The sequence below is a fragment of the Homo sapiens genome, chromosome 2 (genome assembly GCF_000001405.40).
Source record: "Homo sapiens chromosome 2, GRCh38.p14 Primary Assembly".
Taxonomy (NCBI): domain Eukaryota; kingdom Metazoa; phylum Chordata; class Mammalia; order Primates; family Hominidae; genus Homo; species Homo sapiens.
The window spans coordinates 119,504,794-119,528,201 of record NC_000002.12 but is presented as its reverse complement, the minus strand read 5'-3'; the positions used below and the strand labels follow the sequence as shown (position 1 = coordinate 119,528,201).

Here is a 23,408-nt window from a genome sequence, read left to right as displayed (position 1 = left end):
TATAGCAACAGGGGCTTTGTGATGGGGAGGAGCAATCACGCTCTACTCCAAATACAACAGGGATAAGTGAAGATTTACAGCCCAGGTGCAGGGTAAGGGTCAGTGGATGGAAAATTACTAAGAGGAGATATCAGTGCTGGCAGGATTCTTGCTAAACCCTTCTAAATAGGATTCTTGCTAAAGGCAGACCAAGGGCTTAAATATCAAAGGTGGAGAATGAGGAACTGAAGCAGATATCAAAAGTGATGAGATATCAAGAGTGGAGTAGGAGATCTTCCTAAACTCACTTCACAGGATCCTTACCGAGACTGGGCTAGGGAAACTGAAAACAGGACGGGGGGCCAAGGTCAAAGCTTAGTTGGGAAGAGGGCTAGAGGAGCCTGACTAAACTTTAGTCAAGGAGAGTCTTCGTCACCCTTCAGACTTCCTGTTGCCGATCCCTCCACCTCACCATCCCTTGCTGGTTCCTGCCTACCCTCTGCACATAGTCCTTTCATTAAACTCCCTTTGATTAAACCGTTTGAGCCACAGTTTCTCCTTCTTCTGCCAGGCCCCTGCCTGCTCATCCCTACCTACCTCACAGAGCTCTGTTAATTAATAAGAAGATGCACACAAAAGAGCTTGTGAAGCCTAAGTACAAGGAGACCATCTCCATGTTGGAGAGGAATCCCAGTACCATGCAAAGAGCTCTAGGCACCAAGGAAAAACTTCCCTTTTGCCCTCTGAAGTTCCACTGAAAATCAACTGAAAAAAAAAAAGGCAGATTCATAGGCGAAAAGGCATGCAAATTTTAAAATGTGCACAGGAGTCTTTCAAAACACAACTCAAAGAAATGGCCAGAGGGTGGACGCTTTCATATTCCATCTTGAAGTTACAGGAAGAATGGGGGCTTATGGTGTGTGGCAAAATAGGTTGGGGGGTGGTGGAGAAGAGGAGGCCTGGCTGGTAAAGTTGGGCTTGTTATGCAGATGAAACCTCACAGGTAGCAGGCCTAAGAGAGGACAGATTGTGTGTGTGTGTGTGTCTTTCAGACAGTTAAGGTGTTGAACTCTCAGTTAACCTTTCTTAGATCTGGATATGGGAGGTTCCACAGAGAAAGCCTGGCTGCATCAGTGCAGAGTTCTCTCTCCAGATGCAATCTCCCCAGTAAAAGACAGCCTTGCAGGGCTACTTCTGTTTGGAGGCCCTCTGAACAGCCATCTCAAAATATGTCAAATAATAGAGTGAAATATTTTGTTTCCTTCACGACACAGGCTTGGGCTCAGTCCTGAATTCAAATCCTGGCTCCTCCCCTTATTAGCTGTGCTGATGGAGGCAAGCACTTATCTTTCCTAAGCCTCAAGTTCCCATCTCTTTTATGGTCTTGGAGGACTGGATATGATAACACACCCGAGCTTCCTAACAGACTCCCCAGCACACGACAGGTGGTAAATATATGGTTAGTTTTCCTACCTCTTCCCTTCTACCCCTATTGTGAAATTGTCTTAGGCAGGTTTTAAGGACCTTTCAGGGAGCACTTCAATCCCTTTTCTCAACTCTCTGAGAGGCAGAGCTTCCCATTTAAGCAAGAATGGCTTGCTACAGGCCAGAAATGTATTGAATTGCCCAGAACTAATGTTGTTTTGTTTTTTCATCAGATATCACGAAGCTCTGGTATAAAGCACGGATTGCATTTTTGTGTTGTTTTCTTTTTATTTATTTCAACGCCAAACAGCCATACGCAGCGTTGTTACAGAAAACATTCAAACAACACAGAAATCTGTATAGTAAAAATTGCAAGTCCTTACCTCAGGCACTTTGCGATGGATATTTAGGGTGCTGCGGTTCAAGCAGCCTAGGAAATAACATTTTTCTTTCTAGCCTGAAACTTGAACCAATTGAGAAATAAGATCAAGACAGATGCGGCCAAATATCACTTTATAAAGTCAGTATTGCAGAATGTGGTTTATACTTGTAGGCAAGTGGGTTTCCTAACTAAACCCCAGAATTAGAGAGACAACAGTTCATACTGGACCAGTTCCAGTAGAGCCTCGACCACTAATCACAGCCTGGCCCAGGGAAATCCAGTTACAGGCTCTCTGTAGGGGGGCACACTGTCAAAGGAAGGAGAGAGGAGGGGACCGAACTCATGCCAGTTCCTTATTCCAAATGCATCAATCATGTAAGCTGGCCTCACCTGTGTATACGTGCCTGCATGCATGCTTGCGTGTGGGTGCACATGAGAGAGAGGTGGGGGATAGACAGACAGAGAGAGGGAAGGGGTAGAAACAAGTCAGGAGCATTATAGTAATGACTGCTGCCCATGAGAAAGAAAGAAATAAGGGTGATTCCCTTTCCCCATATATCATCTCGTTTCCTGCCACTGTCATAGTGCTTCCGCAAACATCCTTGCACATTTCATTAGGCCCTTGGGTGAGTATTTATGTAGAAAGAGTTTCTAGCAGGGGGTTGGTGATTATGTATACTTTAGGTTTGATGTGTACTGAGCATTGGTTTTGGACCTAGGAGCTGAATGGATTTTCCTCCCTTTTATTTCTGCTGGGATTTACCAGCCTCAATTTACTAATAGTCTCTTCCGGTAGGGAAGGCTGCTAAGGACAACACATTGTTACCTTAACAGCTGCATGGCCTTCTGCGTAAGGGCCAGTTACAGAGAGTCGGGTCAGCCATGTAAGGGTAGATTCAGGCTTTCCTGTCTGAGCCTCTGAGTTGCAGTACCCAGACATGTAATGAATCCTCCTCCACCTCCAATGCCCTCCTCTGTCAAATGGACATCGTATCACCTAGGGGTGTGAGGGAGAATTAAATGAGCTGATGTACTTAAAGTGCCTGGGAGAAAGATCAAGAAAGGAGGAGAGAGAAGAAGGAAGGGAGTGGGCACCAGTGCAGACTAAGGAAAATTGAGTTTGCAAGACCCATCTAGTGCTGGGCCCAGTGGCTCATGCCTGTAATCCCAGCACTTTGGGAGGCCGAGGTGAGAGGATCTCTTGAGCCCAAGAGTTCAAGACCAGCCTGGGCAACATGGTGAGACTCTCTTTTTTATGTAACAGTAAAAAAGGGCCATCGCCCTGTACTAAGAGGCCAAAAGAGACGCCTTGTACTAAGAGGACGTCTTGTACTAAGAGACGCCTTGTACTAAGAGGCCAAAAGCAAACCTCCAGGATACACAGCACCGATGGAGAGGGCTACTGGGACTACCTGCCTGAGGCTTAAATAGCCTCCCAGGGGGTTCATCCTCAGGACGGTCCCCAGATGCCTGAGTGTACCACAGATCCTCCTTGGTCATCATCAAAGGAGGAGTTCATGGGAGTGAAACTTCATGGAATTAGCGCTAATGACTTCAATAATGAAAAAATCGGAAATAAAGTGCAAGGTAGCTATCGGGGGGAATAGATGCAATGGGCCTCGACTGTGTGACAACTTTCAGTCCGAGAGTGGGTATTATCAGACGTGTTGTTAGGGATGAGAAAGCCGAGGCTTACAAAGGTGACCTAAGTTGCCCACCGGCCCCCAGCGAGCTTGCGCTTTCTGTCCGTGGACTCCAGAGACAGTGCTCTTTCCGGACCCGGGGTTGGGCGGGATTGCCGCGTAGAAGGCTAAGCCAGCGTGCCCTCTCCTGGCCTCCTCCAGCTTGGGCCCAGCCTGCGGGAGCCGACTCCGGGTCCCCGCGCCCTCCCTCTGCCTCCTCCCCTGCCAGCCTCCGCGCCGACCCCGCGCCAGTCCCTGCCGGGTGGAGGAGGCGCGCCGGCAAAGCCGCGTCCTGATCAATGGGGCGGGCGGCTTAGCGCGCGCGGCCACCTGGTCCGAGGAGGAGCAGTCCCGGGGCCCGCCGCAGGTCGGGTGGCTCAGCCATGGCTCCTCGGGGCGCAGCGGCCGGCCGGAGCCCGGGACCCTGCGCGGGGCGCTGAGCTCCCGAGCGGGCAGAGGGCACGGGCAGGCGGACGTCGGGGCGCCCTCGGGGAACGTGCGGGCACCATGCGTCCCCACCTGTCGCCGCCGCTGCAGCAGCTACTACTGCCGGTGCTGCTCGCCTGCGCCGCGCACTCGGTGAGTACTGCGCCCTTCTGCAGGCTGGGGACCCGAGGGAGCGACAGTCTCGCCCTTTCTCCGGCCTCGGGCAGGATGCAGGTGGAGAGGGACTAGCAGATCTTCCCATGAGGAATAGGGACTCTTCCCTCCCAATCCTCCCAACATTAATCTCTCCCAGCTCTTCTCCGGAGGGACCCTTTCCCAAAGAAAAACATCGTGCGCGCCAGACGAAGGCGGCTCTAAGATGAATCCCTGTGCCCACCACCGACCCCTTCCTCTGGTCTGGCTTCTGAAACTCTCCTACACGGAAATTCTGGAGCCGCCCGTGGCAGTGCCTACTGTGTCCTGGGCGCTTTGCCTCCAATCTTTCCTTGAAACCTGGTAATCACCTTTCGAGGCTGCTATTATCACCGTCACTTTACAGACAAAGAAAGGAAAGGAAAGGAGAGGAGAGGGGGAATAAAAATTCTTGCTGCAAGTCAGAAAAAGAGGATTGGAACCCACATCAGTATCAGTCTGCCCCCAAACCTTGACATTTTCACACTCACGGGCTGCGGATGGGAAAACCTGAGGGAGCTCTGGCAGGAGCTTCTGGGTCTGCGATGGGACCGCCTGCCGCTCTCCCCACACCGTCTCGTGTGGGATGCGGCTCCCTAATGTCTGCGTGCCTGGTGGCTCCAGGGCGCTGCTGTTCCCCAAAGCCAGGTCCTGGCAAGGGGCTGGAGGAGGAAAATAATAATAATAATAATAATAATAATAATAATAATAATAATAATAATAGCGGCAGGATGGGTGGTTTGTTTTTCTTTCCAACAGAAATTCCTGGGAGTCCCGGGCCTCTCTGAGCTCCGGGATCTCTGATAAAGAGAGTGGCCCCACCCAGACCAGCAGAAAGGAAGGAATGGGGAGGGAGTGGGGGTTAGAGGTGGGGGCCAGATTCCAGAATCATCCCTTCCCACTAGCATTCCAAATTGGTCCCCAAGTCGTCTCTTCCAAGAAGCTCCCCAGGGAACGCGCTTGGGGACCCAACTGAGTCTCTGATCTCTGTCCTGGGCAAGTCTCATGGTGTCCAGCCTCCTTGTCTTCCCTTAGTCTCCTCTGGTTTGATTATAAGGAAAACCAATGCTCCCGGAGCCGACCAGAGTGTTGACACTCAGGAGATGCTCATTTTTCTGGTAGCCCCAAGACTTTCAGCAGCAGTAGTTGGGATGAGTGCAATTTGGAGCTTGCTTGGAGCTCCCTTGCCACCGTGGAGCCTCCTCTCTTCAGTGGCAGTGCTGGCCTTGGAAGACGCTAGAGCAACAGCATGCACTCATGAGTTTTGACTCCCAATTTGGAGAAATGCCAACTGGGATACTGGGGACAGTGCAAAGCCAGGTAGAGCCAGAAGGTGTGTTATTCCGTGGCTGGGGGTGGGAGAGGCAATAGCTCCTTCCTTGGGACCCTCCCAGCCTCCTTCTTAAGTATTTGCAGTGACTCTGAGACTGTCGTAACTGGTACCTCGAGTGCAGGACTGAGGTTCAGCCTACATTTTTATCTCAAGGAAATCCCTGGATTATCACAGGAATAAATGGAAGGGGAAAATGAGAGGCTTCACTTGGTTTAAGTCTTCAGTGTACCTTGGAAGGATGCTTCATTATGCTATGGTCCCAATCCCTCATTTTAAAAATGAGCACACTGAGACTCTCAGAGAGAAGGGAGCTGCCCGAGATCAGCAAGTTAGTAGTAGAGCCGGGACTAGCAGCTCTACTCGCCCCACATACCCCACTTAACCCACTAAGGTTAGCACCCAGATCTCTTGATTCCCAACCATCCAGGGCTCTGTCTTTTATACCCCTTGTATTTCCTTTTTCTTTTTCTTTTTTTTTTTTCTTTTGAGACAGAGTTTCACTCTTGTTGCCCAGGCTGGAGCGCAGTGGCGCGATCTTGGCTTACTGTAACCTCCGCCTCCCAGGTTCAAGGGATTCTCCTGCCTCAGCCTCCCAAGTAGCTGGGATTACAGGCATGTGCCACCATGCTCGGCCAATTTTTTGTATTTTTAGTAGAGATGGGATTTCTCCATGTTGGTCAGGCTGGTCTGAAACTCCTGACCTCAGGTGACCTGCCTGCCTCGGCCTCCCAAAGTGCTGCGATTAGAGGCATGAACCACCGCGCCCGGCGGTCCCTTGTATTTTCAAATGTGCATTACTGCCTTACATAATCACAAGATGGTTTCCTGTGTATAAGTCGTGGTCCTTGGGTTATTTTACGGCTTCTGTAGACCTTAGATCTCACACTTCTTGGCTGAGAACTCCTGTAATAAATAGGAGTGGAACTGACCTACTTTGGTTGGAATATTTCCCAGCCTCTGGAGCCCTGCTTTCCTTCTGTTTGACTCTGGGTGGTCACACATTTGATTTTGAAATCTAAGTGTGTTCAAATAATTTTTTATTCATTTGAAGCTCCCCCTTGAGGGAGATTATAGGCATCTTCCCAATGGAGGGGGGTCAGTGAGGCCAAATTGCTTATTACCGCTCTCCCTCTACTCCATATAGGGAGGCGTCAGAAGTGACCCTTGTAAGTGAAACCCAAAAAGTGGCCGAATGGGGCAGTTTTCTGAGGCCTCCCTATAAGAAATACTGATCACAGCCCCCTCTGCGGCCCCACCCCCATACATCTCATGAGAACTTTTACCTGGAACATTACTGTAATTATTTACTAACACATCTGTCCCCCAAACCCCAATATGCACACTTTGAACTTGAACATGGAGACTCATCTTGTTCATCTTTCATCCCTAGAGTCTGTCACAGTGTAAGAAGGAGCTCAGTGAGTGTTTGTTGAATGAATGCATGGATGACTGAATGAAATCATGCTGATGCAGCAACAAATAAGGAAGAATCACCTCTTGAAAGCACTCCTTACTTGCTAAATTGTACAGAAATGTGTCAGGCTGTAGAGAAAGAGTCACTCAAGGTAGGGCTTTTTAATCCATGACATTTGGCAAACTGCCAATTTGTTAACCTTAGTGAGTTAAGTGAGGTGTGTGGGGCTGGTTTTTCCTTCAAGCAGAGTTTCTTCACACTACTGACATTTGGAGCCAGATAATTCTCTCTTCTGAGAGCTGTCCTGTGCATTGTACAATGTCTAGCAGCATCATGGACCTCTGCCCTCTAGAAGCCCATGATCACTCCAAAGCTGTGACAACAGAAAATGTATCTCTAGACATTGCCAAATTTTTTCTGGGGGTAGGAAGGGCAAAATCGCCCCTGCTTGAGAACCGTTGCCTTAAAGGTTGTCATGTTTCAGGACAGATACACAGATAGGGCTAACAATAGGTATTCATTTCACATTGGGTTTGGGGCAGTGGGGTTGGTGATACGGCATCTGAGTCAGAGGATGGAAACAGGTGTGCCTGATGAAAACCAGTTTCCAAACTGGACAAAGGACTTCTGTGGAGAATGTTTCCTTGATCTATTCCACCCTCCCTTCCCATCTTTTTCCCTCCTATCTCCATCCCTCCTCAGTTGATGGCTAAGAAATATAAAAATTCCAAGTACAGGCTCTGGCACATGGAAGCCTTCAGTACATGGTGGTCGCTGCCCTGTCCGGTCATGCATCTGGATCCAGAAGCTGACAAGCCCTGTGGCTGCACAGTGAGCAGAACCTTAGAAAGGCCTGCAAGCGTTGCCTGCAGAGCTGGTAATTACCCTGTTGCCCGGGCTGGAGTGCAATGGTGCGATTATGGCTCACTGCAGCCTTGAACTTCCTGGCTCAAGTGATCTTCCCACCTCAGCCTCCCAAGCAGCTGAAACTACAGACACCTGCCACCATCCCCATCTAATTTTTTAATTTTTTTAGAGATGGGTCTCACCATGTCTCCCAGGTTGGTCCTGAACTCCTGGGCTCAAGTGATCCTCCTGCCTTAGACTCCCAAAGTGTTGGGATTATGGGTATGAGCCACCATGCCCAGCCTGGGAGCTGATTATTGATGACTTTTCAGAGAGGGTCACTGGGGATTTTTTTTGTGTACCTGGAAAAACACTTTCTAGTTTTCTGAAGAAGTATTTGTGGATTTCTTTTGAGATTTTTATTATCCCTGAAGTTAATAAGTGAAGGATGATGAAGGCTCCTTTAATTGACTCTTATTTTCTACCAGACACTCTGCTGAGTCCCTCCTAACACTAACACTCACTTCAACAGTTATTAGCCCCATGGTGCAGATGAGGAAACTGACACTTGGATAGATGTGAAGCCATTTGCTTAAGGCCACCCAGCTGGACATGGTGACATGAGACCTTAAACCTGGAACTTCTTTTTTGTTTTTTTTTCTTTTTTTTTTCTTTGTTTTTCTTTTCTTTTTTTCTTTTTTTTTTTTTTTTTGAGACAGAGTCTCATCTCACTCTGTCACCTAGGCTGGAGTGCAGTGGCGAGATCTTGGCTCACTGCAACCTCCGTCTCCCAGGTTCAAGCGATTCTCCTGCCTCAGCCTCCTGAGTAGCTGGGACTACAGGCATGCACCACAATGTCTGGCTAATTTTTGTATTTTTTAGTAGAGATGGGGTTTCACCACATTGGCCAGGCTTGTCTTGAACTCCTGACCTCGTGATCCACCCACCTTGGCCTCCCAAAGTGCTGGGATTACAGGCGTGAGCCACCGCAGAGCTTCTTAACCAGCACATGCATCTGCTCCAAAAGAGAGGCCTGTTCCGGGTTTCTGGTGCCCAAGGAGCTGTCATAAAATTATCTCCCAAACTTCAAAATAGCATTAATTTTCATTTAAACTAATCAATTTGTGAAACATAAAAAAATACTGAGTTACACACAGCATTTATTGAGGGGCCCAGAAATGAGCATGGGGTCACAAAATCCAACAGGAGGAGATACCAGTTCCCAAACAGTTTAGGGGAGTCCACTTAGGCGGAGCGCGGTGGCCCATGCCTGTAATCCCAGAACTTTGGGAGGCCGAGGCGGGTGGATCACCTGAGATCGGGAGTTTGAGACCAGTCTGAGACCAGTCCGACCAACATGGAGAAACCCTGTCTTTACTAAAAGTACAAAAAAATTAGCTGGGCGTGGTGGCCTGTAATCTCAGCTACTCGGGAAGCTGAGGCAGGAGAATCGCTTGAACTTGGGAGGCGGAGGTTGCAGTCAGCTGAGATCATGCCATTGTACTCCAGTCTGGGCAGCAAGAGCAAAACTCCGTCTCAAAAAAAAAGGGGGAGTCCACCTGCTTTGGCATCGTCACCCTTTGGAGTTCCCGCAGAACTTCCCAACCTCACCCTGTCCTCATGATCCCCACCCAGGTTGGGAAGTCCCCAGATTTCCTACCATGACAAGGGAGGACATAGCCTCTCTTCCTGGCACCCCCTTGCTGAAAGCCTAGATTTAATATCTGGGATTCGAGCTCCACCACCAGAACAGCCTCTTGCAGTGAGCCCCAGCTTGGTCTCTGCATCCCTGCTCTTAGCAAGCTGTAGGTTCTCACCACTGACCTTCACTCAGGCTTCGGGACAACCTGCAGCTCAAGGTAAAACCACAATACTCAGATGCTATCTACTTGCTTACATTACAAACAGAAGGCTGCTCAGCATTCCTATGGACTCCTGGGGCCCACCCAGCCTCTACATTGTGCGTCTGTTCCAAGGATGGCATTTGGGGAGGGTCATCCCTGGTTCATCACGTCCCGCAGTCTTAGCCCATTGTGCTGCAGGCTCCTGAGGTTCCCAGAGTCATCTCCAGATCCTGCCATGCCCCACCCCACTTCCCTCACCTGAGGCTCTTAGGCGTGCTCCTGATGGCCACGTGTCTTTCAAATTTCTCACCTCCCGCCTCCCTCTCATGTTCAACAGATGGGCTCACCTTCCATTTCCCAAGAGTTGAGACTACCTGGATGAACTTCTAACCAACATCTTGCCCTTACAGATGTGTCTAAATTGTACCCTCTGTTCCTTTCCTTCCCGTCTGTCTTAGTCAGCTGTGTTATCATAACAAAATACCACAGACTTGGGGACTTAAACAAAAGAAATTAATCTCGCGGTTCTGGAGGTTGGAAGTGTGAGATCAAGATCCCCAAGGGTTTGGTCTCTGGTGGGGACCCTCTTCCTGGCTTGCACATGGCCACTTTGTCCTCATGTGGCATTTCCAGTGAGTGTGTGGATGCAGGGGAGGGGAGGGAAACACCTTTCTGGTATTTCTTCTTGTAAGGACACTAATCCTATAGGATCAGGGCCCTATTACTACAATGCTGTTTAACCTTAATTACCTCCTTATGGGCCCTACCTCCAAATACAGCCACCCTGGGGGTAGGGCTTCAACATATGAATTTAGTGGAGACACATTCAGTCCATAACAGCATCCAAGTGGAAGAGAGGCTGTTCCCCAGACAACAGCCTGTCCCTACTCCTACCCCTACCGACTTCCTTCCCAGGACAACACAATGACAGCCATCTCACCCAACCTTCACCCTCTTCCTCTCCGCTGACTTTTCTCATCAGCTGGTTAACTTCCCCAAGTCTATCCAGCCCAGGCAGTAAATAGCCCTCTGCTCTCTGCCCCCTGGTGGCCAGCTTCCTGTAAGACGCGTCCACCTTCATTGCCTCCACTTCACTCACTCTCACACTGCAACCTGGCTCCCACGCTCCACCCACAGAAACCAGCCTCACCAGTGCCCTTCGATTTGCCACATTCACTGGATTCTTTTTTATAATCTTTTTTAAAAAATAAAAATTGTAGACTAAGCACGGTGGCTCACTCCTGTAATCCCAGCACTTGGGGAGGCTGAGGCAGGTGGATGGCTTGAGCCTGGGAGTTCAAGACCAGCCTGGGCAACATAGGAGACCTTGTCTCTACAAAAAATTTTAAAAATTAGCTGGGTGTGGTGGTGTGTGCCTGTAGTCCCAGCTACCCAGGAGGTTGAGGCGGGAGGAATGCTTGAACCAGGGAAGTAGAGGCTGCAGTGAGCCATGATTGTGCCACTGCACTCCAGCCTGGGTGAAAGAGTGAGACTCCGTCTCAAAAAAAAAAAAGCACTTAAAGTGTACAACATGATATTTTGAAATACACAGTGAAGTGATTACTATAGTCAAGCAAATTAACATATGTTTCTTCACAAAGTTACCATTTGTGTGCATGTGTGTGTGTGTGTGGTAAGAGCACCTGAAATCTACTCTTATGGCAAAATTCCAGTGTACGATACAGTGTTATTATTATTGTTATTACTTTTGAGACAGAATTTCGCTCTTTTTGCCCAGCCCAGAGTGCAATGGTGCGATCTCAGCTCACTGCAACCTCTGCCTCCCGGGTTCAAGAGGTTCAAGTGATCCTCCCGCCTCAGCCTCCCGAGTAGCTGGGATTAGAGGCATGCGCCACCATGCCTGGCTAATTGTGTATTTTTAGTGGGGACGCGGTTCCACCATGTTGGCCAGGCTGGTCTTGAACTTCCGACCTCAGGTGATCAGCCCACCTCAGCCTCCCCAAGTGCTGGGATTATAGGCGTGAACCACCACACCCGGCCCGATACAGTATTATTAACTATAGTCTTCATGCTGTACATTAGATCTCTAGACTTATTCATCCTGGTGTAACTGCAACTTCATACCCTTTGACCTATATCTCTCCATTCCCACCCCCTCCCAGGCCCTGGCAACCACCATTCAACTCCCTGCTGCTTTGTATTCAACTTTGTAATATTCCACATATAAGTAAGATCATGCAGTATTTTTCTTTCTGTGACCAGCTTATTTCACTTAGCACCATGTCTTTCAAGTTTATTCATGTTGTCACTAATGATAGGATCTCCTTTTTTAAAGCTGACTGGCATTCCATTGTATATATGCAGCATGTTTCTTCATCCATTCATCTGTTGAGAGACACGTAAGTTGCTCCCACATCTTGGCAATGGTGAATAGTGCTTCAGTGAGCATGGGGGCACAGGTACCTCTACGAGGTGCTGATTTCATTTCCTTTGGGTTTATGACCAGAAGTGTGATTCCTGAATCATATGTTAGTTCTATTTTGAATTTTTTTGAGGAAGCTCCATGCTGTCTTTCATAATGGCTAAGCCAGTTTACATTTCTTCCAATAGTATGTAAGAGTCTCCTTTTCTCCACATCATTGTTAGCACTTGTTCTCACCCCACATTAGCCCCCCTAACAGGTGTGAGATGATGGCTCATTGCGGCTTTGATTTGCATTTCCTTCATGATTGGTGATGTTGAGCAGCTTTTCATTTACCTGTTGGCCATTTGTATGCACTAGATACTTTCCAGTCCGGATCCTACCAAGGGTCATCCATGCAGTTTTTGAGAGAGAAGAGATACTATGAATAGTTACACTGAGACACTAGGAAATACCCAACACATCTTAGAGGCATGCAGTGCTGGGCACCTCCTTCCTTTCCATCTTGCCAGCAACATGGCTCAGGCCAACGTGGTTCTGAGTCTGACCGCCTCAGAATCAGGGAAGATGATGGTGGAACTCAGTCAGAAGCTAGAGTCCTGGGAACCATGGGGGGACCACTTGTGCAAGTTCTAAAATCCAAGGCTGTAGAACCTGGGATTCTGATGTTCAAGGACAGGAGAAGGGTGTCCCAGTTCCAGGAAAGAGAGAGAAAGAGAGAGAGTAAGTTAGTGAATTTACCTTTCTCTGCCTTTTTTGTTGTATTCAGTGCCCAGCCGATTGGATGGTGCCTGCCCACGTTGAAGCAGATCTTCCTCACTCAGTCTACCAACTCCTGAGCCAATCTCCTCCAGAAACACCCAGAAATAGTGTTTTACCAACTATGCAGTTAGCCCTTAATCCAGTCAAGTTGACACTGAAAAGTAATTATTTCAAAGACAATCCTCACGTCTTGCTTAAATGGTAGAGCCATCTCCTAGGGGTTCTTTACTACTACTCTGACCCCATCCTCCTTCCTTCTCATAATGGCAGACTTGGCAATGCCACTCCCATTTAAAATTCCTCACAGCACTTACATTGGGCCCTCTGGCCATTGACTTCTCTGGCCCCTGTTGGAGACCATGAGCTTCAAGGACAGAATCTATGTCCCATTCACCTTCATGTCACCAGTGATGGGCAGACTGCTAAGCATATAGTAGGTGCCCAATAAATGTTTGCTAAAATTTTGAGTTTTGAATAGGTTATATAATGATGAGTTTCCTGTTTTTATTTCTCATTGTATAAATTAGACTATTACTTTCCTTTCCCCCCTTGAAGCGATATCTTTCCAGTCTCTGGTTGTTAGGCAAGTAATTATAAAGTGTGAGAAGAGAGATGATGTTGAGTCTCTTTACCTTATTCAGATTTTTTTTTTCTTTTGAGACAGAGTCTAGCTCTGTTGCCAGGCTGGAGTGCAGTGGCATGATGTTGGCTCACTGCAACCTCTGCCTCCCGGGTTCAAGAGATTCTCCTGCCTCAGCTTCCTGAGTGGCTGGGATTACAGGCATGCGCCACCACGCTTGGCTGATTTTTTTGTATTTTTAGTAGAGACGGGGTTTCTCCATGTTGGTCAGGCTGGTCTCAAACTCCCGACCTCAGGTGATCCACCTGCCTTGGCCTCCCAAAGTGCTAGGATTGCAGCCGTGAGCCACTGCACCCAGCCTTTATTCAGAATTTAAAAGATTTTTATTATATCTCCTCCCAGATTTTGCCATCTTGACTTAAGAGTCCAAAATTAAACTCCAAAATAGCTAACAGAACCCACTTGACATATTTTCTCTCTTATTTGTGTCTTCTTTGTTATTCTTTCTCTCTGCAGACTGGATTTTTCTGTTGCTTTCTACAGGATAGTATATGGATGCTCCATAGCCTCCAAGTTTGCATGCTTTGGAAATGGGAGAGATTGGCTTTCTCCCCATGCCAACACCAAATATCCAAGGAAGGCAGATTGTCTCACACCTGGTTAGGTTTTCTCCTTTGGTCTAATCAGTGGGATAGGATCACACAGCATAAACCACCCAGCCTAGACATGAAAGGGTTCTTCCCAGGGGGCAGTTGTTGGTTCAGGGGCTAAGCAGACACCTCAAAACATGTCTACCATCTGGAAAAATAACCCAAAGAAAGAGATGGTGGAAGTTCATCATAGAATTGTCAAGCAAGAGGTGAACTTATACACCACAGTGGGACCAACCACGACTATGTGTTGAGTGAGACAAAGGGTGATACACCCTGCAGAGACACTGTTAGACATGCAGTGACTCACACAGTTTACAACTTAAGCACTTCTTCTTTAAAAAATTACCATAGTTTTATGTAGCAAAACCAAAACTCAATGTAAAATTATGGGATACTAAAAAGTGGAATTTACCCAGAAAAGCAATGGATGGGCACCAGTTCCATGGTTCTGCAAAAGACCCTAGAAAAGATTCAGTTCAGAAAATCAAAGGGCTCCTTGAAGAACACCCCAGAGAAGACAGTAGGCAATGTTACAGAAAGCCGTTCTCTTCAGAACCTTGAAGTACAGCTCTGATGTGTAATTAATGAGGTGAAGGCCTGTGAATTTTGTGATCAACAAGAAAAAAGAAAGTGGATTTAAAATTCTAGGAAAAGACAAAAGTTATACAAAACGTTTGTGGTCTAAATATTTTAAAATCCAAACTTTGACATGATTTTAGCAATATTTCCAAAACTCCATGTAATGATGACTTAGACTCAGGCTCTGAAACCAAAAAGGAAAGAATATGTAATGTATGTTTTTGTTTAGTTAATAAAAATAATAAAATAATATAGAAAAGTACCATTTAGTGATTTTTCTCTGACAATCTCTTATTAAATTTTTGAGGAATTTTTTTAAATATGCTTAGGGCATTCAGTTTAAGATGACAGATTGACCACATATATTTATCTGCTCTGTCTCTGGAAACACTTTTAAAATGACAGTAAAGGAATAGAAAAGGTATAAACCCATACAAAGAGAACAAAACAAGAGACAGAGATGAAGCAGAAATTTCCAGAAATCTTTGGAAAATGAAAAGTGATGAAGTGATAGCTGTATGGAAAGAATAACCTCAATGCCTGTAGCAGGCAGAGGAGAAACTGTCAAGTCATCCTGTGGCACCCTGGAAAGGCCCCAGACACTGAGGAGAGTCCACTCATAGACCCCAGCAGTGGGCTCCCTCTTGGCCTGGTTATGTTACAGTGAAGGCCACCAGGCAAGAAGCTGTTTAGGTCCACAGTGTTTCCAAGGACTATGTTACTGTCTCAAGCTTAGATCGTACATTGAGGAGGGCCTCCAATGTGGAAGCAAACAATCATGAGAAAAGTGCCTCAAGGAAACAGATCATGTAGACAAGAGGAGACAAACTTAAGACGTACAACTAATATTTGGAAATCCTTTGTGAAAATGATGCCTGAGCCACAAAACTAGAAAAGGATGCTATAGAAAAGGAATCATCTCAGAGTAAGAAAGGATTCTTGGAAGTTAAATGTATGAAACAAAACATTCATAAAAAAACTCTACAGATAATGTCAAGGAAATCTTTTATAAAGAAAATCACAAAGGCTGGGCACGGTGGCTCACGCCTGTAATCCCAGCATTTTGGGAGGCTGAGGAGGGTTGATCACCTGAGGTCAGGAGTTGGAGACCAGCCTGACCAACAAGGTGAAACCCCGTCTCTACTAAAAATACAAAAATTAGCTGGGCTTGGTGGCACGCACCTGTAATCCCAGCTACTCGGGAGGCTGAGGCAGGAGAATCAGTTGAGCCTGGGAGGCAGAGGATGCAGTGAGCTGAGATTGCGCCACTGCACTCCAGCCTGGGAAATAGAGCGGGACTCCATCTCAAAAAGAAAGAAGAAGAAGGAGAAGGAGAAGGAGAAGGAGAAGGAGAAGGAGAAGGAGAAGGAGAAGGAGAAGGGGAAGGGGAAGGGGAAGGGGAAGGGGAAGGGGAAGAGGAAGAGGAAGAAGATCACGAAGACAAAATGGTAGAATAGTAGAGAAAGATGAAAAGATTGGAGAATCAGTGCACCTCGTCCGATACTCTGCTAGTGGGAATTCCAGAGAGACAGCATAAAGATGAAGGGAGGAAATAATAAATTAAAAACATAATATTTTTTAAATTCCCAGAAATGAAGAACACAAGTCTTCAGATTGAAATGCTGACTGAGTATCCAATCAATAAATTTAAAAACAACCATTTCCTCAAGAAATTTCAAAATACCTAAGAACAAAGAAAAATCTTACATATATCTAGGGACAAAACAAAAAAGTTGTATACAAAAGATTTGGAATCAGAATTGGATTTCTTATTAACAATACAAGAAGAGGAGAAATGCCTTCAAAATTTGGAAGGAAAATTATTTCAGCCTAGTATTTTCTACCCAAATTGTTAATTAGTTTAATAATTAATCAAATTAATAAAAATATTTTCACTTCTGCAAAGATTCAAAAATTTACCCCCATGTACTTTTTCTTAGGAGGTTACTAGAGAATTCTGTGCTTTTGCAAAATGAGAGCAAACCAAGGAAAAAGCCATGATACCTAGGAAATGAGACCCCAGCCAGGAGACAGGGAGAGGGCACCCCAAACCACAGCCAGATAGCAGGCCTGGGTGGAGCAAGAGGAAGGAGAACTCTGAGACAGAAATATCCGGAGGAAAAACCAATAGGACTGTGGATAGATGTGTAACAGAGCTGTGGGAGCACTTGGAAAAATTAGCCATATGTACATGGAAAACTAATCCAATGAAAAAACAATAATGATAGACCTCAGGAAAAACAAAATGTACAAGAAAGACACATAATCATTTTACATGATTTGACTCAGCAGCGAACAATATTTCCTAGTCAAAATAAGTCATTATAAATGTAGACCATTCTTCACTAAAAATGAAATGAAGATTAGTATATGTAATATATGAGGAGAGAAGTATATGTAGGGAGATTTTAAAACATCTCATCTTTCTCTTCCCTAATAGGAAGTTTGACTGTCTCAAATTTAAAAACCAAGAAATAACAACAGTAAAAGAATATAATTTTTTTTTTTTGAGACGGAGATCTCAAAGAGATTGCTCTTTCACCCAAGCTGGAGTGCAGTGGCGCTATCTGGGCTCACTGCAAGCTCTGCCTCCCAAGTTCACACCATTCTCCTGCCTCAGCCTCCCAAGTAGCCAGGACTACAGGTGCTCGCCATCACGCCTGGCTAATTTTTTTTTTTTGTATTTTTAGTAGAGACGGGGTTTCACCGCGGTAGCCAGGATGGTCTCCATCTCTTGACCTTGTGATCTGCCCGCCTCAGCCTCCCAAAGTGCTGGGATTACAGGCGTGAGCCACCATGCCCAGCCAAGAATATAATTTTAAAACATGGAGACAAAAATGAAAATAAACAACTAAAAGGAGTTGAAAATGGTTGCCTGGAGAGCAGGTAAAGGTTATGGAAGGGAAATACTATTTGTCATTATACTCTTTGGTACTAGTACAAATTTAAAAAAAAGGCTCAGTGTGGTTATACAAACTCAATTTTAAAAATTTAAAGGGATTTAAAAAAAATGAATAGCTCTTGTTTTGAGGAAAATTTTACATAAAGTTCAGCAATTCTTTCATCTTCATTTGTCCCTCCTGTGAATTACAACTAAAATGTATTTAATACTTTTAAATTTAATGAATATATACAATATGTGTACATATACACATGCATATAGCTACTAAATGTCAGCCTCTCCCCCTCTTCTCTAGGTTGATGTAGATAGCAAAAGGGCTTGTTTCTCATCTCCCACATCTTCTGGGTGGTTGCTCCAAGGAGCCACATGCTCTTCCCAGGCGCTCCCAGCAACCCTGGGGACCCCAGTCCCTCTTTGCCGGTCACCACCTGGAAACATGGACTCAGTCCTCTCAGCAGAATGACATTCCTGTCTCACAGACACTGGTGGACACCACACATTTCTTTAGTTGGCATACCCCCTCCCCCCACATTATCTTGGCTTGTTACATTTTAGAGGAAGGATCAAGGGCAAAACAAATGTGAGATGCTCCACTTCACAACCATAAGTGGGAGTTGAACAATGAGAACACATGGACACAGGGTGAGGAACATAATACACGGGGCCTGTCAGGGGGTAGGGGGCTGGGGGAGGGATAGCATTAAGGAGAAATTCCTAATGTAGATGACAGGTTGATGGGTGCAGCAAACCAACATGGCACATGTATACCTATGTAACAAACCTGCATGTTGTGCACATGTACCCTAGAACTTAAAGTAAAATAAAAAAAAAAAGGAAATTCTGATACGTGTTGCTACATAGATTAACCCTGAAAATGTGCTGAGCGAAACAAGCGAGGTGCAATGAAACCAATACTGTGTGATTCATTTATGTGAGGTATCTAGAATAGGCAAATTCTTAGAGTCAGAAAGTAGAATAGAGGTTACCAGGGGCTGGGGAAATGGGGGGATGTGGAGTTATTGCTAAATGATGAGTTCAGAGCTTCTGTTCGGGGTAATGGAAATGGATACTGGGGATGGTTGCACAACATTGTGAGTATACCTAATACCACTGAATTGCACACATTAAATGGTTAAAATGGTAAATTTTATGTTATGTATATTTTACCACAGTTAAAAAAAAGAATTGTTGGATGAGAAGAAAAAGTTAAACTATCCTCCATTGTTGCTGTTTCTATAGTCCAAAGGAAAATCGCCAAGGAAGTTGAACTCTTCTTGCACAGGGCTTCCCATCATAGATATGTTATCCCATTTCTAACCTTGCTCTGTTGCTCTCAAGAGAGTCCTCTTTGCCAGAGGACTTTCAACTCTTACAGTGGAAATTGACATCTACTTTTGGGAAACCTCATTCACTATTCACACACATTGATACCGCCCTGGAGTTTATTTCCTACCCTGTATCAGTCAGCTAGGCGGCATAACAATTGCACACATCTCAGTGGCATGCAGCAATAAGTGTTTATTTCCCTCTTGGCATTTACAGTTGAGCTAGGGTGTGATTGATCCAGGCTGGGCTCTCCCGGCTTGGCTCCATCCCCTGGGTTAGGTTCAGTCTTCTACACCTGTCATTCATTCTAAGATGAGCAAGCTACCCCAGGTTCTGAAATGCAGGTAAGCATTTCAAACCTCTGCTCACATCAAATCACTAACGTCCCATTGACCATGGTCACACGGCCAAGGCCAAGCAAAGAAGTACACCTCGCCCACCATGATAGGAGTCATATGTATGTATAAACCCCATAGGGCGTTGAGACCAGTACTTGTAACTACAGCATACTTCTTTCCTGTCCTTGGCAGTAAATTTCCTAAGTCTGAGTTACTTCCTGTATATTAACATCAAGAGGACGCAATGGATGTACAACATGATGACTAAAGTTAATAACAATGTATTGTGTTTTTGAAAATTGCTTAGAGAGTAGATTTTAAGTGTTTTCACCGCACACACAAAAGTGAAATAATGCCTATGTTAATTAGCTCAATAAGAGCCTTTCTACAGTGTATACATATTTCAAAACAACATGTGCATAATAAATCTATACAGTTTTTATTTATCAATGAAAAAAATTAATTTAGGCCAGGCACAGTGGCTCACACCTGTAATCCCAGCACTTTGGGAGGCTGAGGCAGGAGGGTCACTTGAGCCTCATAAGTTCAAAACCAGCCTGAGCAACATGGCAAAACCTTGTCTCTACCAAAAAAATACAAAATTAGCTGAGTGTGGTGGTATGCGCCTGTAGTCCCAGCTACTCAAGAGGCTGAGATGGGAGGATGGCTTGAGCCTGGGAGGTCGAGGCTGCAGTGAGCTATGATTGTATCACTACACTTCAGCCTGGGCAACAGAGCGAGATTGCCAAAAAAAAAAAAAAAAAAAAAAAAAGAAGAAGAAGAAGAAGAAAAAGAAAGAAAGAAAAAGAAAATTTTTAGAAAAGAGAATATGATGGAATGTGGAGGTTCAGAAGCAAACTCCAGGATAAGTTTAGTCCTCTTAGTCCAGCAGAACAATCAGCCTTAGGGCTGTTACTCCCATCCCCATGGTTGAATATGGTTCACCGCAATATCCACACGTAGAAGAGGGAGGCACGTCCCTTTCCTTCAAGGGCATGAGACAGAATTTGCACATGTGTTTTTCACTCCAATCCATTGCTAGAATCTAATCTCATGGGCACGCCTTAGTTGCAAGGAAATTGGAAACTGTAGTGTCTAAGTGGGTAACCAATTGCCTAGTTAAGTTTTGATTATACTAGAGAAAGGGAAGAATATTTACTGGGGAAACAGTCTCTGCCAAAAGAGACGGGTGGTAAGAGTGAGAATGAGCCAGCACTTTGGGAGGCCGAGATGGGCAGATCACGAGGTCAAGAGATCAAGATCATCCTGGCCAATGTGGTGAAACTCCATCTCTACTAAAAATACAAAAATTAGTTGGGCGTGGTGGCTGGTGCCTGTAATCCCACCTACTTGGGAGGCAGAGGCAGGAGAGTCGCTTGAACCTGGGAGGCAGAGGTTGCAGTGAGCCAAGATCGTGCCACTGCATCATTCTAGCCTGGGCGACAGAGCCAGACTCTGCCTCAAAAAAAAAAAAAGAAAAAAAAAAAAAAAAGAACGAGAAAGAGGAAATGGAATGCGGACTTTCATTTCATATATGACACCCATAGCAAATTTGGCTCTTAGTTCAGAAACCTTGATTTAAAGAAATAATTTCTTTCTTTAAACTAATAACTGCTGCTGAGTCCCCAGCCTACCTTACTAGTGACAGCCAGGGGACGAGTTCTTCCCCTATTCCCCTGACAAATGGCAGCTCTGTTGACATGTTCACTTAGTGATAGCAGGGCTACACACACATTGGTTGTCTACCTTCCTCTGCATATTTAAACATTATTTTAAAAGGTTTAAAAGATAATTTTCATAATATTTTCATGCATTTTCTTCCAGATTTTTCTCTGAAAAATTAGTACATTTAACATAATTACAATCATACTGTACATATAAGTTTGTCTTGATTTTCCTGTTTAACATCACGGTATTACTGTTGATAGTCTGTACTGCTAAACACTTTCCTTAAATAATCATATGTAATGCCTGAACATATCCTGTTAAATGGACTCAACATACTTTACCTAGCTAGATGTTCTTTTATACTCAGATAATTAAGTTGTCTTTTTTTTGTAATTCAACTTTTTATTTTGAAATAGTTGTAAATTAACATGCAGTTGTAAGAAATAATACAGAGAGATCTCTTGTAACTTTTGCCCAGTTTCTCCCAATGGTAACATCTTGCAAAACTATATATAGACAGTACAAGATTACAATCATGATATTGACATTGCTGCAGTCAAGATACAGAATATTTCTGGCATCACAAGGGCCCTTCATGGTGCCCTATTATAGTTATTTCCACTTTTCTCCCATTCTCACCCCGTCCTTAACTCCTGACAACACGCATCTCTTCTCCATTTCTATAATTTTGTCATTTCAAGAGCATTATATAGGCCAGACATGGTGGCTCGTGTCTGTAATCCCAAGACTTTGAGAGGCTGAGGCAGGAGGATTGCTTGAGGCCAAGAGTTCAAGATCAGCCTGGGAACAGAGACCCCATTTCTACAAAAAGTATTAAAAATTAGCCTGGCTATGGCAGTGCATGCGTAGCCCTACCTGTGCAGGAAGCTAAGGCAGGAGGATTCTTGAGCCTGGGGATTCAAGGCTGCGGTGAACTATGATTACACCACTGCACTCCAGCCTGGGTGACTGAGCGAGACCCTGTCTCTAAAAGATAAATAAATAAATAAATAAATATTATAAAATAAAATAAGGAATGCTATACAAATGGATAAATGGAATAATATAGTATGTAATTTCTTCGCATTAGCTTCTTTTCATTCAGCATATTTCTCTGGCGATTCGTCTAGGTTGGTGCATATATCAATAGTTTGCTCTTTTTATTGCCGAATAGGGTTCCATAGTATGAATGTACCACAGTTTATTGAACTGCTTACCCATTGGAAAACATCTGGATTGTTTAAGTTTGGGGGCTTTTATGAATAAAGCTGCTATAAATATTTATGAACAGGTTTTTCTGTGAACGTGAGTTTTCATTCCTCTGGGATAAATGCCCAGGACTGTCGTAGTTGCATGTTTAGTTGCCTGGTTGGTTTTCAAGACACTGCCAACCTGTTTTCTACAGTGACTGTACCATTTTACATTTCTACCAGCAATGTCTGAGTGATCCAATTTCCCTGTGACCTTGCCAGCATTGGGTGTTGTTACTTTTGTATTTTAGCCATTCTGATAGATATGGAGTGATACCATATAAAGGTTTTAATTTGGATTTACCTAATAGCTAATAATGTTGAATACATGTTCATGTGCTTGTTTGCCATCTGTATATCTTTTTTTCTCTGTTTTTTTAAATTATACTTTAAGTTTTAGGGTACGTGTGCACAACATGCAGGTTAGTTACATATGTATACATGTGCCATGTTGGTGTGCTGCACCCATTAACTCTTCATTTAGCATTAGGTATATCTCCTAAAGCTATCCCTCCCCCCTCCCGCCACCCCACAACAGGCCCCGGTGTGTGATGTTCCCCTTCCTGTGTCCATGTGTTCTCATTGTTCAGTTCCCACCTATGAGTGCGAACATGCGGTGTTTGGTTTTTTGTCCTTGCGATAGTTTGCTGAGAACGATGGTTTCCAGCTTCATCCATGTCCCTACAAAGGACATGAACTCATCATTTTTTATGGCTGCATAGTATTCCATGGTGTATATGTGCCACATTTTTTTTTCTTTTTTTTATTATACTTTAAATTTTAGGGTACATGTGCACAACGTGCAGGTTAGTTACATATGTATACATGTGCCATGTTGGTGCGCTACACCCATTAACTAGTCATTTAACATTAGATATATCTCCTAATGTTATCCCTCCCCCCTCCCCCCACCACACAACACATTTTTTTAATCTAGTCTATCATTGTTGGACATTTGGGTTGGTTCCAAGTCTTTGCTATTGTGAATAGCGCTGCAATAAACATATGTGTGCATGTGTCTTTATAGCAGCATGATTTATAGTCATTTGAGTATATACCCAGTAATGGGATGGCTGGGTCAAATGGTATTTCTAGTTCTAGATCCCTGAGGAATCGCCACACTGACTTCCACAATGGTTGAACTAGTTTACAGTTCCACCAACAGTGTAAAAGTGTTCCTATTTCTCCACATCCTCTCTAGCACCTGTTGTTTCCTGACTTTTTAATGATCGCCATTGTAACTGGTGTGAGATGGTATCTCATTGTGGTTTTGATTTGCATTTCTCTGTGCCATCTGTATATCTTCTGTAAACTATCTCTTCATGTCTTTTGCTTATGATCTAATTAGAATTTTTGCTTCTTTACTGTTGAGTTTCAAGCATTCTTTGTATATTTTAGATATTATTCCTTCCTTGAATATGTAGTTTGTAAACATTTTCTCCGA

At 44.8% G+C, this 23,408-nt stretch overlaps 1 protein-coding gene across 9 annotated transcripts in view; it reads left to right on the top strand.

The window, feature by feature from the left end:
• SCTR (secretin receptor) overlaps positions 3,719-23,408 on the top strand; it is an 84,641-nt gene continuing 64,951 nt past the window's right edge. For all 9 annotated transcript variants that reach the window (XR_922984.3, XR_001738889.2, XR_007079571.1 and 6 more), the window contains exon 1: positions 3,719-4,047. Coding sequence is in view for 5 of the 9 variants with exons in the window: in NM_002980.3 (NP_002971.2) it covers positions 3,976-4,047 (72 nt within the window). In the remaining 4 variants the exon portion in view is untranslated. The remainder of the gene's footprint in view (positions 4,048-23,408) is intronic.